At 45.2% G+C, this 14779-nt stretch overlaps 1 protein-coding gene and 1 pseudogene across 4 annotated transcripts in view, besides 2 other annotated features; one reads left to right on the top strand and one right to left on the bottom strand.

Moving 5' to 3' along the window:
- Positions 1 to 14779, top strand: part of CLSTN1 (calsyntenin 1) — a 95601-nt gene that overhangs the window by 34077 nt on the left and 46745 nt on the right. The window lies entirely within an intron of this gene.
- Positions 1204 to 1992: an enhancer, noted in NCBI's record as "NANOG-H3K27ac-H3K4me1 hESC enhancer chr1:9848516-9849304 (GRCh37/hg19 assembly coordinates)". NCBI's record gives its function as "activates a minimal SCP1, AML or CMV promoter by ChIP-STARR-seq in naive H9 embryonic stem cells {active_cell/tissue: H9 hESC(naive)}" and the evidence as "EXISTENCE:reporter gene assay evidence [ECO:0000049][PMID:30033119]".
- Positions 3626 to 4126: an enhancer, noted in NCBI's record as "H3K4me1 hESC enhancer chr1:9846382-9846882 (GRCh37/hg19 assembly coordinates)". NCBI's record gives its function as "activates a minimal SCP1, AML or CMV promoter by ChIP-STARR-seq in naive H9 embryonic stem cells {active_cell/tissue: H9 hESC(naive)}" and the evidence as "EXISTENCE:reporter gene assay evidence [ECO:0000049][PMID:30033119]".
- Positions 9010 to 9628, bottom strand: MZT1P1 (mitotic spindle organizing protein 1 pseudogene 1; annotated as a pseudogene).

Below are 14779 nucleotides of genomic sequence, written 5' to 3'. Positions count from 1 at the left end.
CAACATTTGACAGTCAATAATTCACCAATCAATACGCTAAAAAAGAAAAGTCACAGCATACCAATTAATGCCGAAATAGCATTTCAGAAGATGCTATTCATTCATTCATGATGAAAACTCTCAAAGTTAGGAATAGAGGGGCTCTCTCTCAATTTGATAAATAACATCTACGAAAACCTACTTAATAAACATACTTAAAGGTGAAAAAAGAATTGGCGACATTGTGGAAACCCCTAAGCATTACTGTTCAAGGTTATCAGTGCTTTCATTTTTCTTTCATAGCGGAATTCGGAGTGAAACAACACAAACTTACCCTACAGAGCGAGAAAAGTCTTGAGTGAAATTATTTGATACACCAAACAAGCAGATAAATAGGAACCCTGATTAGGTATTTGATGATATTAAATAATTGTGAAATTTTAGGTAATACTGCCATTATGGTTAGTTTTTATTTATTTTACTTTATTTTTTTAGATAGGGTCTTGCTCTGTTGCCCAGGCTGGAGTGCAGTGGTGCAGTTATGACTCATTGCAGCCTCTACCAGCCAGGCTCAAGCGATTCTCCCACCTCAGCCTCCCAAGTAGCTGGGACTACAGGTGTGCATCACCACGCCTGGCTAATTTTTGTATTTTTTACTAGAGACGGGTTTCGCCATGTTGCCTTAGCTGATTTTGAACTCTTGGGCTCAAGCAATCCACTCTCCTTAGCCTCCCAAAGTGCTGGGATTACAGGCATAAGCCACCTCTCCCAGCTTATTTTATTTTTTACCTTTAAGCTCTATTGGACTTGATATGGTTAGTTTTAAAAAGAGTTGTTATCTTTTAGAGATGTATGATGCGGTATTGAGAGGGGAAGTTATATGATGTCTGGCATTTGCTTCAAAATAAGTGGTATCGGTGTTGGGAGTGGGAGTGAAGTCAAACAAGATTCATTCTGCGTGGATCATTATAGTGGTTAGTGAGGAGCACATGGGGCTTCTTACTCTCTGTTGTCTACTTTGGTATCTTATCAATTTTACACAATACGAGAAGGTAAAATTACTTGATATAAAGCATGTTTGGTTTCATCTGTTAGGATGGTCTATCAAAAAGCAGAAAATAACAAGTGCTGGGAAGGAGGTGGAGAAATCGGGGCCCTTGTGCACGGTTGGTGGGAATGGAAAATGGTGCAGTCACTATGGAGAACGGTATGGCGGCTCCTCAAAACACAAAGATACAATCACCCTAAAGATAGAATCACCGTATGATCCAGCAGTCCGCCTTCTGGGCATATTCACAAAAGATTAGAAAACAGGGCCTTGAGGTATTTGTACACCAGCATTAGCAGCATTGTTCACAATGGCCAAAAGGTGGAAGCAACCCAGCGTCTGTTAACCAGGGAATGGATAAGCAAAACATGGTATCCTTCTAACGGAACATCATCCAGCCTCGAAAAGGAATTCCAACGCATGCCACAGCAGGGGGGCACCTCGAGGACATTATGCTAATGAAGCCAGTTACAAAAGGATAAGTGTGGTGTGATCCCACTCATATGAGGTACTAGAATAGTCAAATTCCTTTTGTTTTTTTTTTTTTTTTTTTTTGAGACGGAGTCTCGCTCTGTCGCCCAGCTTGGAGTGCAGTGGCGTGATCTTGGCTCACTGCAAGCTCCGCCTCCCGGGTTCACGCCATTCTCCTGCCTCAGCCTCCTGAGGAGCTGGGACTGCAGGCACCCGCCACCACGCCTGGCAAATGTTTTGCATTTTTTAGTAGAGATGGGGTTTCAAAGTGTTAGCCAGGATGGTCTCGATCTCCTGACCTCATGATCCGCCTGCCTCGGCCTCCCAAAGTGCTGGGATTACAGGCGTGAGCCACTGCGCCCGGCCTCAAATTCCTTTTTTTTTTGGAAACAGTCTCACTCTGTCACCCAGGCTGGAGTACAGTGGCATGATCTCAGCTCACTGCAACCTCCGCCTCCTGGGTTCAAGCGATTGTCCTGCCTCAGTCTCCCAAGTGACTGGAATTAGCATGGACTACCATGCCCAGCTAATTTTTGTATTTTTAGTAGAGATGGGGTTTCACCATGTTGGCCAGGCTGGTTTCAAACTCCCAACCTCAGGTGATCCACCCATGTCGGCCTCCCAAAGTGCTAGGATTACAGGCATGAGCTACCGCATCTGGCCTAGAATGGTCAAATTCTTTATTTTTATTTTTTTGAGACAGGGTCTCACTCTGTCATGCAGGCTGGAGTGCAGTGGCACCATCTTGGCGTACTGCAGCCTCGACCTCCCAGGCTCAGGTGATCCTCCCACCTCACCCTCCCAAGTAGGCGGGACTACAAGTGTGGCACCACCATGCCTGGCTAATTTTTGTATTTTTTGTAGAGACGGGGTCTCGCCAGGTTGGCCGGGCTGATCTTGAACTCCTGAACTCAAGCGATCCACCTTCCTCAGCTTCCTAAAGTGCTGGGATTACAGGTTTGAGCCACCACGCCGGACCCTTAGTCAAATAGTCAAATTCACAGAGACAGAAAATAGAATGGTGGCTGCCAGGGGCTGGGGGAGGGGAAATAGGAAGTTAGTATTTAGTGGGTGCAGAGTTTCAGTTTTGCAAGATGAAAGAAGTTCTAGAGACGGGTAGTGGTGGTGACGGTTGGATGACAGTGTGAATGTACTTAATGCTATTGGCCTGTACACTTAAAAATGGTTAAGATGGTAAATTTTTATACTGTGTATTTTCCCACATTAAAAAAACTTGTTTGGAATTTGGAGGAAAAATTAGAAGGCTCACGCCTGTAATCCCAGCACTTTGGGAGGCCAAGGCAGGTGGATCACGAGGTCAGGAGATCGAGACCATCCTGGCTAACATGGTGAAACCCCGTCTCTCTAAAAACACAAAAAATTAGCCGGGCACGGTGGCAGGTGCCTGTAGTCCCAGCTACCCGGGAGGCTGAGGCAGGAGAATGGCGTGAACCCGGGAGGCGGAGCTTGCAGTGAGCCGAGATCACACCACTGCACTCCAGGCTGGGCGACAGAGTGAGACTCCGTCTCAAAAAAAAAAAAAAAAAAATTAGAAGGCTCACTTTAAGCTTTCAAAAGTTGCAATTGTAGGAAGTGAGGATTACTTTGCAGGTTCTGTTTCAAATTCATATTTTTATCAACCATAACACAAGCTCTGAGAGGGCAGGGGCTGTTTTACTCACCATTATTTTCTTGGTACCTAGAAGACTACCTGGGCCTCGAGAAAGACGGATGGATGGATGGAAGAAGGGGGAAACAGAAGCCCCTTCTTCTGGATTCTCCTGCCCTGTCATTCCTCCTTAGCTCTCAGTTCTAGTTGGGGACAGCCCCATCTCCGTGTGCGGGAGATACCTAGACTCTAAACTGCAGTCTCAGCCCAGCCCCTTCCCCTTCTCTTCTCACCCCTGCAGCCACCTCTTCACCCCCAACTTCGTTCTTGGGACTCTCCTGGCATCCTACCCTGAGGCTCATGTGCAGGGTCTGGTCCCCTTGCTTCCTTCTTAGTGTTCAGGGTGGGATGTGCACCAGGGAGAAGGACATAGGGGTTCCTCCTCCATCTGTTCCTGCTCATTCCCTGGTCTTTTCTCATGATGCCACCATGCATGCCTTGCGCTCCCCAACACGAGGAGCCCGATGTAGCTCTCAGGCCCTGTGAGCTGGGTAGTGGTGAGCCCATGCCCAGCCATAGACCGCCTGGTGGCGGACAGGCAGGTGTCCCAGCCTGTGAGCAAGAGAGTGGATCCAGATGTGCAGAGCTTGCAAACAGCTCTCACCTTTGTTTTTTTTTTTTTTTTTTTTTTTTTGAGACGGAGTCTCACTCTTGTCAGCCAGGCTGCAGTGGAGTGCAATAGCACAATCTCAGCTCACTGCAACCTCCACCTCCCGGGTCCAAGCAATTCTCCTGCCTCAGTCTCCTGAGTAGCTGGGATTACAGGTGCCCACCACCACACCTGGCTAATTTTTAGTGTTTTTAGTAGAGACGGGGTTTCGCCATGTTGGCCAGGCTGGTTTCGAACTCCTGACTTCAGGTGATCAGCCTGCCTCGGCCTCCCAAAGTGCTGGGATTACAGGCATGAGCCACCGCGCCCAGCCTCACCTTTCGTAGAACAGCTGCATTGTGTGTAACAGTATGTGGTGGTATGATGCTTGTCCTGGGAAAAGTGAATAAATGCAGGGAAAGTTTCACTGTACTATTAAAAAACTCAATTGTTCTGTTAGCTTAAGAATTTATTTGACACTTAATGTGTGTGTTTTTTGTTTGTTTGAGGCAGGTCTCGCTCTGTCACCCAGTCTGGAGTGCAGTGGTGTGATCTCAGCTCACTGCAACCTCCACCTCCCAGGCTCAAGCGATTCTCATGCCTCAGCCTCCCGAGTAGCTGGGAGGTCCCAAGTAGCTCCCAAGTGTACCACCATGCCTGGCTAATTTTTTCCTATTTTTTGTAGAGACAGGGTTTTATCATTTTGCCCAGGCTGGTGTCGAACTCCTGAACTCAAGCGATCCACCCACCTCAACCTCCCAAATTGCTGGGATTACAGGCATGACCTACCGTGCCCGGCCTTAATGTGTTTTTATTTTAAAAATTAACTTCAAGCTGGGTGGGGTGTCCCACACCTCTGAGACAGAGTGAGACCCTGACTCGGAAAAAAAAAAAAAAAGAAATTCACATCAATGTAATGCACAAATTATTAAAGTGGCTCTTTTAAAGTGTACAAGTGATTTTCATGTAGACATCATTGGTTTTCCTTAACGGGGTGGATGTCAGTCAGTGGTTCTCAAGGGAGGAGGGAGGAGGATTGCCCCCAGGGGATCTTGGGGAATGTCTGGAGACACTTCTGGTTGGCACATCTTGGTGGGGAGGCCGCGGACATCCAGTGGTTTTGAGGCCGGGATGCTGCTGAACGTCCCACAATGCACGGGACAGCCCCACAGCTAAACATTGTCTGGCCCAGAGTGTCCAGCTGTTGAGAAACCCTGATCTAAATAATGTCTAAGCTATGTATTTGGTGTTTCAATCAGCCCTTTAAAATTTAGTTTGTTTGGGATTCTGATGAAGAAATCCTTAAACCTGTGCATACAGAGATTCTTTGGCAGTGTTCAGTCTTTGGAAAAAAAAAAATAAGAGTAATTAAAAAATCTGTTTTACAGCTGGGTGCAGTGGGTCACGCCTGTAATCCCAGCACTTTGGGAGACTGAGGCAGGCGGATCACTTGAGGCCAGGAGTTTGAGACCAGACTGGCCAACATGGTGAAACCCTGTCTCCGCTAAAAATACAAAAATTAGCCAGGCACGGTGGATCACCTGAGGTCAAGAGTTCAAGACCACCCTGGCCAACATGGTGAAAACCCCTCTCCTCTAAAAATAACAAAAATTAGCTGGGAGTGGTGGCACACATTGTAGTTTTATTTCACTTCAGCCTGGGTGACAGAGCAAGACTCTCAAAAAAAAAAAAAAAAAGAATTTATGACTAGGGACAATACTTAGAGACCCAGAGATAATGCCTTTTTATATTTTGATTTTAAAACTGTGAATATTTTACCTGTTCCAAATGCTTTTTTGAGGAAAAAAAGAATCAGCTGGAGATTTTAAACTTAGAGTTTAAGATACTTTTCTACCCATGTCATCTTTAACAAGGGCCTACTAGCTCGCCTTTGGAAATTAACTAGCAGGATTTTAAAATCAAAGCCTGAGAACTTGGAGCATGCAAGGGCACCTGTCACCACCTGCTGGCAGTGTTCCTTAATTGCAGGTTCTTATGATAGACCAAGGTTTAAAAGTTGAATCTGCAAATGAAACCTGTAACATCATCTAGGATTTATAGGTGAGACGCCAACAGTCTCTTGCAATATTTAGCTGTTGTTTTTTAAGGGCAGACATGACCAACCTACGTGTCATGATAAGAGGCACACATCACACTCTTGTTTGAAACAGTGGGTTTCTTTTTTCTTTAGAGATAGTCTTGTTCTCCCTGAGGCTGGACTGCAGTGGTGAGATCTTGGCTCACGGCAGCCTGTAACTCTTGGGCTGAAACATTCCTCCTGTCTCAGCCTCCCGAGTAGCTGGGAGTACAGGCATGTGCCACCATGCCAGCTAACTTTTTTTTTTTATTCAAGAGGGAATCTCGCTTTGTCACCCAGGCCGGAGTGCAAGTGACACAATCTCTGCTCACTGCAACGTCTGCCCCCCAGGTTCAAGAGATTCCCCTGCCTCAACCTTCCGAGTAGCTGGGGTTACAGGTGCATGCCACCACGCTTGGTTAATTTTTTTTTTTTTTTTTTTTTGAGATAGAGTTTCGCTCCTGTCGCCCAGGCTGGAGTGCAGTGGCGCAATCTTGGCTCATTGCAACCTCCGTCACCCTGGTTCAGGCAATTCTCCTGCCCCAGCCTCCCAAGTATCTGGGATTACAGGCATCTGCCACCACGCCTAGCTAATTTTTGTATTATTATTATTATTATTTTTTGAGATGGAGTTTCACTCTTGTTGCCCAGGCTGGAGTGCAATAGTGTGGTCTCAGCTCCCTGCAACCTCTGCCTCCCAGGTTCAAGCAATTCTCCTGTCTCAGCCTCCCAAGTAGCTGGGATTACAGGCACCCGCCACCACGCCTGGTTAATTTTTGTATTTTTAGTAGAGACAGGGTTTCACCATGTTTGCCAGGCTGGTCTCGAACTCCTGACCTCAGGCCATCTGCTCACCTTGGCCTCCCAAAGTGCTGGTATTACAGGCGTGAGCCACTGTGCCCGGCCAATTTTTGTATTTTTTTAGTGGAGACGGGGTTTCACCATGTTGGCCAGGCTGGTCTCGAACTCCTGACCTCAGGTGATCCACCTGCCTCGGCCTCCCAAAGTGCTGGAATTACAGGCGCGAGACACTGTGCCTGGCCTAATTTTTGTGTTTTTAGTAGAAACAGGGTTTCACCACATTGGCCAAGCTGGTCTCGAACTCCTGACCTCAGGTGATCCACCCGCCTTGGCCTCCCGAAGTGTTGGGATTACAGGCGTGAGCCACTGTGTCCAGCCTAATTTTTTAAAACATTTTTTTGTAGAGACGGGATCACACCTTGTCACCCAGGCTGGTGTCGAACTTCTAGGCTCAAGCAATCCTCCTACCTGGGCCTCCCAAAGTGTTGGGATTATGGGTGTGAGCCACTGCGCCTGGCTGGAAACCGTGGATTTCTAGTTACAAAGTCTTCTTTACTTACAATCAGGTTTATCTTCTGATAAACCCATCTTTGTAAAGTCTAAAAATCCTAAGTTGAGCCACTGTAAGTGGGGAACCATCCATATGAGTGAATAAACCGGAAAGGAACTGTTCGTGTACTGGGTTGACTGATATCAGGGCCACCCTGGGACCTGTGGTTGGCGTCTGGGCTCTGCAACCAACCTGCTGAAATCCCCGTTACTTGTGAGACTTAGGCATGGGTCCAGCCTCTCTCTCTCTTTTTCTTTTTGAGATGGAGTCTCGCTCTGTCACCCAGGCTGGAGTGCGATGGCGCGATCTCAGCTTACTGCAGCCTCCGCCTCCCAGGTTCCAGCTATTCTCCTACCTCAGCCTCCTGGGTAGCTGGGATTATAGGCGTGTGCCACCACGCCCGGCTAATTTTTGTATTTTCAATAGAGGCGGGGTTTTACCATGTTGGCCAGGTTGGTCTTGAACTCCTGACCTCAGGTGATCTGCTTGCCTTGGCCTCCCAAAGTGCTAGGATTACAGGTGTGAGCCACCACGCCCGGCCCGGGTCTAGCCTCTCTTTAGCCCACAGAGTTGGGTTGTGCTGGGGCAGCATAGCTTATATTCATGTTAATCCTAAAGTTGATTATTGTATTTTTTTCATCTTGACTTAAAAATCAAATAATTTCTAATGACTGAAATCTACCATAACCCTAAAAAATGAGTCATATCCTGAAATGATAGGTGTGTGCCTAGCTACAGCCTGCACTTGTAGAAGGTTTGATTGCCAGCTTTGCTTTTGCATAGTTTTAAATTAATACATTCAAAGTTTAGTTTTTTTTTGAAACACATTACTTACCTAATAACTTATTAAATAACCATTCAAGATTTATTAGTCAAGGACTCAAATTACTTTTATGTAAGAAAAGTAAACAGGAGTTTGGCATGTTTGCTATGTTTCATTTTACACATTTTTTTAGGCCTCCATTTATAGGGTATAAAACTTTAAGAAAACATTCTCATTAGCTGTAAATGATTCGAATTGCAAATAATACTAACCTAAGCATTGTCATTACTTTTAAAATCTAAGTTTCTAGAAGTTTAAATTTTTACTCAATACAAAAATGACCTGGTTCACATTATTAGCTGCCCAACAAACTGTTTAAAAAACTAAGTATTCTTTGTTAAAGATCAGATTGCAAGAAATGTTTTCCATGCTCTTATTTTAAAAAACAAGATTCCGACATACATAATGAATCTAAATCAGAATTCACCAATGGTGGCTGAAATAGTGTCAGCTTTCAGCCCAATACAATATAAATCCACAGTTATAATGCATAAACAATTCAAAGTTAAAATTTATAGTGGAAATGTCAACAAGTCACAACTACTACACATTACTACTGATGGGTTCCACTACAGGCACAGCAGATGTGCACATCTGATAGACTGCTTAGAAAATTAAAGCTATCAAAGCTATAAATAAAGAATACATAAATATGAACATGGCGATGTGGAAGCATTAGAGCCGTTAAAAAAAGTGAATAAGCTGGGCGCGGTGACTCACTCCTGTAGTCCCAGCACTTTGGGAGGCCGAGTTGGGCGGATCACCTGAGGCCGGGAGTTCAAGACCAGCCTGACCAACATGGAGAAACCCCATCTCTACTAAAAATACAAAATTATCCAGGTGTGGTAGTGCACTCCTGTAATCCCAGCTACTTGGGAGGCTGAGGCAGGAGAATCGCTTGAACCCGGGAGGCAGAGATTGCAGTGAGCCGAGATCACGCCACTACACTCCAGCCTGGGTGACAAGAGCGAAACTCCGCCTCAAAAAAAAAAAAAAGAATAAGATGTGATGTAAACACATCTGATAGTTCTGTCTGTAAGCCACTTTCCACTGATTTATAATGCTATGGTTTTATAATTCTTTTAAAAAGGAAAATTTTTCTACACTGCTGCATTCAGTATCATTGTACATTCTCGACTACAGTGCAATCTTTAAATCCTCTTGCAGAGCTTGACATATCTCATCAGAATTTCCCCAGAAAATCAGCTTGTCATATTTTCAGCAGCCTTTAGTGCTTCAGTAGCCTTGCGAAGCTCCTTAATAACTGATGATAAAGCTTCTGGGTTAATTTCTTGTTCACAAAGCCGTACACAAATAGGAGTTTCCATATCTAAGCCAGCATTCTAAATTCTTGAAATCTCAAGCAGAATGTGTGATTAGTACAGGTTGGATACTCTTAATCCCAAAACCTGAAATGTGAAATGCTCCAAAATCCGAAACTTTTTAAGCACCGACATGACACCACAGTGGAAAATTCCACACCTCATGTGATGGATCAAAGTCAAGATGCAGGTGCACAACACACAGTTTATTCAGCATCCTGTCCATGGTCTCCCGCACCGCATTTGGATTCGCTGCCACGGCTACTCGCCATGGCTGAGGCCAAGGGAGGCAGGAGAAGCAGTTTAGTTTGTTTTTTAAAACCTCCTAGAATGTGATGAAATGAGTCAGGTATAGACTTCCGACATAGGTGACACGTTCCTAGACTTGCAGCCAGTAGTCTCTTGTCTTTGCCATTTTTTTGTGATGATGACAGAAACATCGGTCACTTGTTTCTGTAAATGTTTTATGATGCAAATTGAATGTGATGAAATATTAAAAATATCACTCATTAAATATTTAAAAGTTCAGTGTTTGGAACTGGCCAGATCTCATTCTACTGCCAGCTTAAGAGCGATTTAGAAAATTTGAATTATAAAATTGGAATACTGGGAACATAGTTACACAGTTATTTTTCCACCGAACCCTTAACCATTTCAGCTGCAGGCCTTTCCATTTGGGCAGCAGAAACACACATTTTACGTTACTACTCATCATGGGTTTTCTGTAATGTGCTCTGCCTGGTATTTTTACATCCCCGTTGGGCTAAATAAAGACATAAATTCATTTAGTTTAAGTCTCAGGAGTTTTATGGACTCAAATATTAGAAGAATATTTAGTTTTAGTATTTATAGTGCTTGTAATTTTATTAATAAAACCTTAAAGTATGAAGCCAAATTGGAATCGAATATTAATTTGATTAGTGGCAAATTGAACTAGCAATTTTTGCTTTAAAATGAAAGATTGGAGGCCGGATGCCGTGGCTCATGCCTGTAATCCTGGCACTTTGGGAGGCCAATGCAGGCAGATCACCTGAGGTCTGAAGTTCGAGACCAGCCTGGCCAACATGGTGAAACCCCATCTCTACTTAAAATACAAAAAAATTAGCCGAGTGTGGTGATGCACGTCTGTAATTCCAGCTACTCAGGAGGCTGAGGCAGGAGAATCACTTGAACCTGAGAGGCAAAGGTTGCAGTGAGCCCAGATTGCACCATTCATTGCACTTCAGCCTGGACCACAGAGTGAGACTCCATCTCAAAAAAAAAAAGAAAGTGAAAGATTGGTAACAAACAATGGAGTTTTTGGAGTCCTTTCTTTAAAATGGCCTATCTTACATCTGTAACTCTAAGCTTCTTCCAGCCTACATCATAGCATGGTTTATTTTCATAGATACCTGAGCTGGATGTTGTAGCTCACACTTGTAATCCCAGCACTTTGGGAGGCCATGGTGGGAGAATTGCTTGAGCTCAGGAGTTTGACACCAGCGTGGGCAACATAGCAAGACTTCATCTCAACTAAAAAAACTTTTTTTTTTGTTTTTTGAGACAGAGTTTCACTCTTGTCGCCCAGGCTGGAGTCAAACTCCATGGTTTCTCCATGTTGGAGTGGTGCGATCTTGGCTCACTGCAACCTCCACCTCCCGGGTTCAAGCGATTCTCCTGCCTCAGCCTCCTGAGTAGCTGGGATTACGCCTGGCTAATTTTTGTATTTTTGGTAGAGACGGAGTTTCACTATGTTGGCCAGGCTGGTCTTGAGCTCCTCACCTTAGGTAATTGGCCTGCCTTGACCTCCCAAGGTGCTGGGATTACAGGCATGAGCCACTGCACCCGTCCTAAAAATTTTTTTAAAAAGATAATCTGGAGAGGATGTTGAGTTTCAGTGGTTAGATAAAGTGTTCAACCTGATTGCAAAGTCAAGTTATTCTCTCAGAGAGCCGTTTCAGACCTGATGCTGGTGCAGTCTGTGCGTAAAGCTCCCACAGACAGCCTCACACATACCTCCTGCCGGCAGACCCCCTGCTGCTCCAGGGAGGCTCGCAGGAGAAAGGTGCCGTACCATAGCCAGCCTTCTTCTTCTTCTTCTTCTTTTTTTTTTTTTTTGAGACGAAGTCTCTCGCTTCTCTCCCAGGCTGGAGTGCAATGGCACGGTCTTGGCACACTGCAACCTCTGCCTCCTGGGTTCAAGCGATTCTCCTGCCTCAGCCTCCTGAGTAGCTGGTATTACAGTTGCCTGCCACCACGCCCGGCTAATTTTTGTAATTTTTTTTTTTTAGTACAGACGGGGTTTTACCATGTTGGCCAGGCTGGTCTCGAACTCCTGACCTCAGGTGATCCACCCGCCTTGGCCTCCCAAAGTGCTAAGATTACAGGCGTGAGCCACCGCATCCGGCCCCTTATTCTCTTCTTAGCCAGTCTCTTGTTTCAGAGCAGCCTATGGACGGGGGGAGAAGACGGATTTCAAAGACACTTTTATTTTTGGTCTTTATGGTCTGGGTTTGATTTCATATTAAGTCCCTCTGTAATCTAACCTTCCATAACTTAACCTTTTCCAGACTGATGTCTTTTGACCTGTTGGTTTCGTGCGTTGTCTCTAGATTTTCTAGCTCTCTTGCTCAGAACATCCACCTGGAGAAACAAACAAAAATAAAAAAAAACACCTTCGCAGTATCTTTTGAATTCCCAGCTCCAAAGCTATCTTCTCCATGAGAGAATTCATAAATCAGGGCAACTGATCTGATTTGCGCATTTGAGGTTTCTTATATACTCATTTCCCAAATAGTTCCTGCATGTGTGCTAAGCATAATTCCAGGTACTGGGAATTAGAGAATGAAAAGGCCACTTTCTCACAGTCTGCGTGTGTGTGTGTGTGTGTGTGTGTGTGTGTGTGTGTGTGTGTGTGTTGGGGAGGAGAAATAACACCACCACCTTTTGATACTTACTGAGTGCCAGACACTCTTCTGAACATTTTATATGTAATGAACTGTGATTGCATGTTTAATCACACAACGACCTATGAGATGGGGACTATTATTGTCCCCATTTTCTAGATGAGGAAGCGAAGGCCCTGAGGTCGCGGGCCCTTTGGAGCCCAGGCAGGTCCCACCCAGGCCTTTGGGCACTGGGCTCCAGTGCCCTCCCCTGCCGTCTTCTCCCCAGGTGTTGGAACAGAGGGACAGAGCGAGGTTGGTGAGAGCAGCAGGAAGGACCTTTTCAACAGAGCCCGAGTGAGATACTGAGTCCCTGAAACCCTGGCAGGATGCGAGAGGGCAGAACTGTAACAATATTAAGACATTATTTGCCGTTTTCTCATCCTCTTAGGCTGCACTGTGGCATTTTCTAGAGACTATGTTAAGGGGAGCAAGGCAGCAGGCTGAGTGCAGGGGGAGCGGGGGTAGAGACGAGAACTCAGGTGTCTTCTGTGAAGGTGGACAACAAAGATTTGCAAAAACAAAACTGTTGCCACTCTTCTTAGTAAGCTTTGTTTTCAAAAAGTTATTTTCATAAAAATATTGTTTATGTGAATGTATTATATAATGTGTTTGTTTTTTAAATGAGTTAATAAGTATTAAAATTATCTTTTTTGTTGTCGTCGTTGTTTTTTGAGACATAGTCTCGCTCTGTTGTCCAGGCTGGAGTGCAGTGGCGAGATCTTGGCTCACTGCAACCTTTACCTCCCGGTTTCAAGTGATTCTCCTGCCTCAGCCTCCTGAGTAGCTGGGACTACAGGTGTGTGCCACCACGCCCAGCTAATTTTTGTATTTATAGTAAAGACAGGAGGATTTTACCATATTGGTCAGGCTGGCCTTGAACTCCTGACTTCAAGTGATCCGCCTGCCTTGGCCTCCCAAAGTGCCAGGATCACAGGCTTGAGCCACCACTCCCAGGCTTTTTTTTTTTTTTTTTTTTGAGACAGTCTCGCTCTGTCGCCCAGGCTGGAGTGCAGTGGTACAATCTTGGCTCACTGCAACCTGCACCTCCCAGGTTCAAGCAATTCTCCTGCCTCAGCCGCCCGAGAAGCTGGGTCTACAGGTGCGTGTCACCACACCCGGCTAATTTTTGTATTTTTAGTAAAGACAGGAGGGTTTCACCATGTTGGCCAGGCTGGTCTCAAACTCCTGACCTCAAGTGATCTGTGTGGCCAGCCTCCCAACACGCTGGGATTACAGGCATGAGACACTGCTCCTGGACTGGTTTTAATTTTCAGTGTAGTAAATGCTGATAGATAGATAGATAGATAGATAGATAGATAGATAGATAGATAAATGCTGATAGATGATAGATAAATGCTGATAGATGATAGATAAATGCTGATAGATAGATAGATAGATAGATAGAGATAGGTGGGTGGATGGATGGATAATCAACTGACTGACCAATCCATTTAAACAAAAGCTATTTGGGTCCCTCAGTAACTTTTTGGTGTACAGGGGTTCTGAGACCCCAAAGTTGAAGACCCATTGTTGTAGAAGCTTCCCTCTGGCTGCCGAGTAAGTGCCGGGATAAGGACAGGGAGGCTTGTTACTTGGCTTTTGTGACCTTTCAGGAAGGAGGTAAGAAATGGCTGTGTCTGAGTTTGTGTGTATGTGGATTTTTTTTTTTAAATGTAAACTACAGCAAAATTTTCCTGTCTACCATTTTGAAGCGTTCAGTTCAGTAGCATCAAGTACATTCACACTATTGTGCAACCAACCTCCAAATTCCTTTCATCTCACAAAACCGAAATTTTATACCCATTAAACAACAACTCCCCGGGGTCTGGGTTTATTTAGGAAGTGAAGCCAGAAGGATTTGCTCTTGGCTTGGATGTAGTGTGTACAAATGTCTGGTAAATGTTTCATTAATTAGAGAGGAGGCAGCGGCTTGGCGCAGTGGCTCACGCCTGTAATCCCAGCACTTTGGGAGGCGAGGTGGGCGGAACACGAGGTCAGGAGTTGGTAGACCAGCCTGGCCAGCATGGTGAAATCCCGTCTCTACTAAAAATACAGAAACTGAGCGTGGTGGTGAGCGCCTGTAGTCCCAGCTACTCGGGAGGCTGAGGCAGGAGAATTGCTTGAACCTGAGAGGCGAAGGTTGCAGTGAGCTGAGATCGCGCCATTGCACTCCAGCCTGGGCGACAGAGCAAGGCTCCATCTCAAAAAAAAAAAAAAGAGAGGAGGCAGCTTTGTTCTGGTCTGTCTTCCTTCCAGATGCAAGCCTTCACACGCCTACTCTGAGCCTTACACGTGAGCGTGACCCCCCTCCCTGGGTGCCACTCTGGGGAAAGTGCAGGTACAGCAGAGGTAGCATCACATCCTGGAATGTTGCACGAAGATCCTTCTGGATTGACTCACACTTAACAGAACCTGAGTGGTTCATTCAATAAGTAGGCCCCGTCTACTTGGAAACAACGTTTTCAAGCCATTTCTTTCCATCTTTTCAGATCAGCTTAATCGAGGAGTCCCCTGGTTCATTCA

The sequence above is a fragment of the Homo sapiens genome, chromosome 1 (assembly GCF_000001405.40).
Source record: "Homo sapiens chromosome 1, GRCh38.p14 Primary Assembly".
NCBI lineage: Eukaryota > Metazoa > Chordata > Mammalia > Primates > Hominidae > Homo > Homo sapiens.
This window is presented reverse-complemented; position numbering and strand designations above follow the sequence as displayed.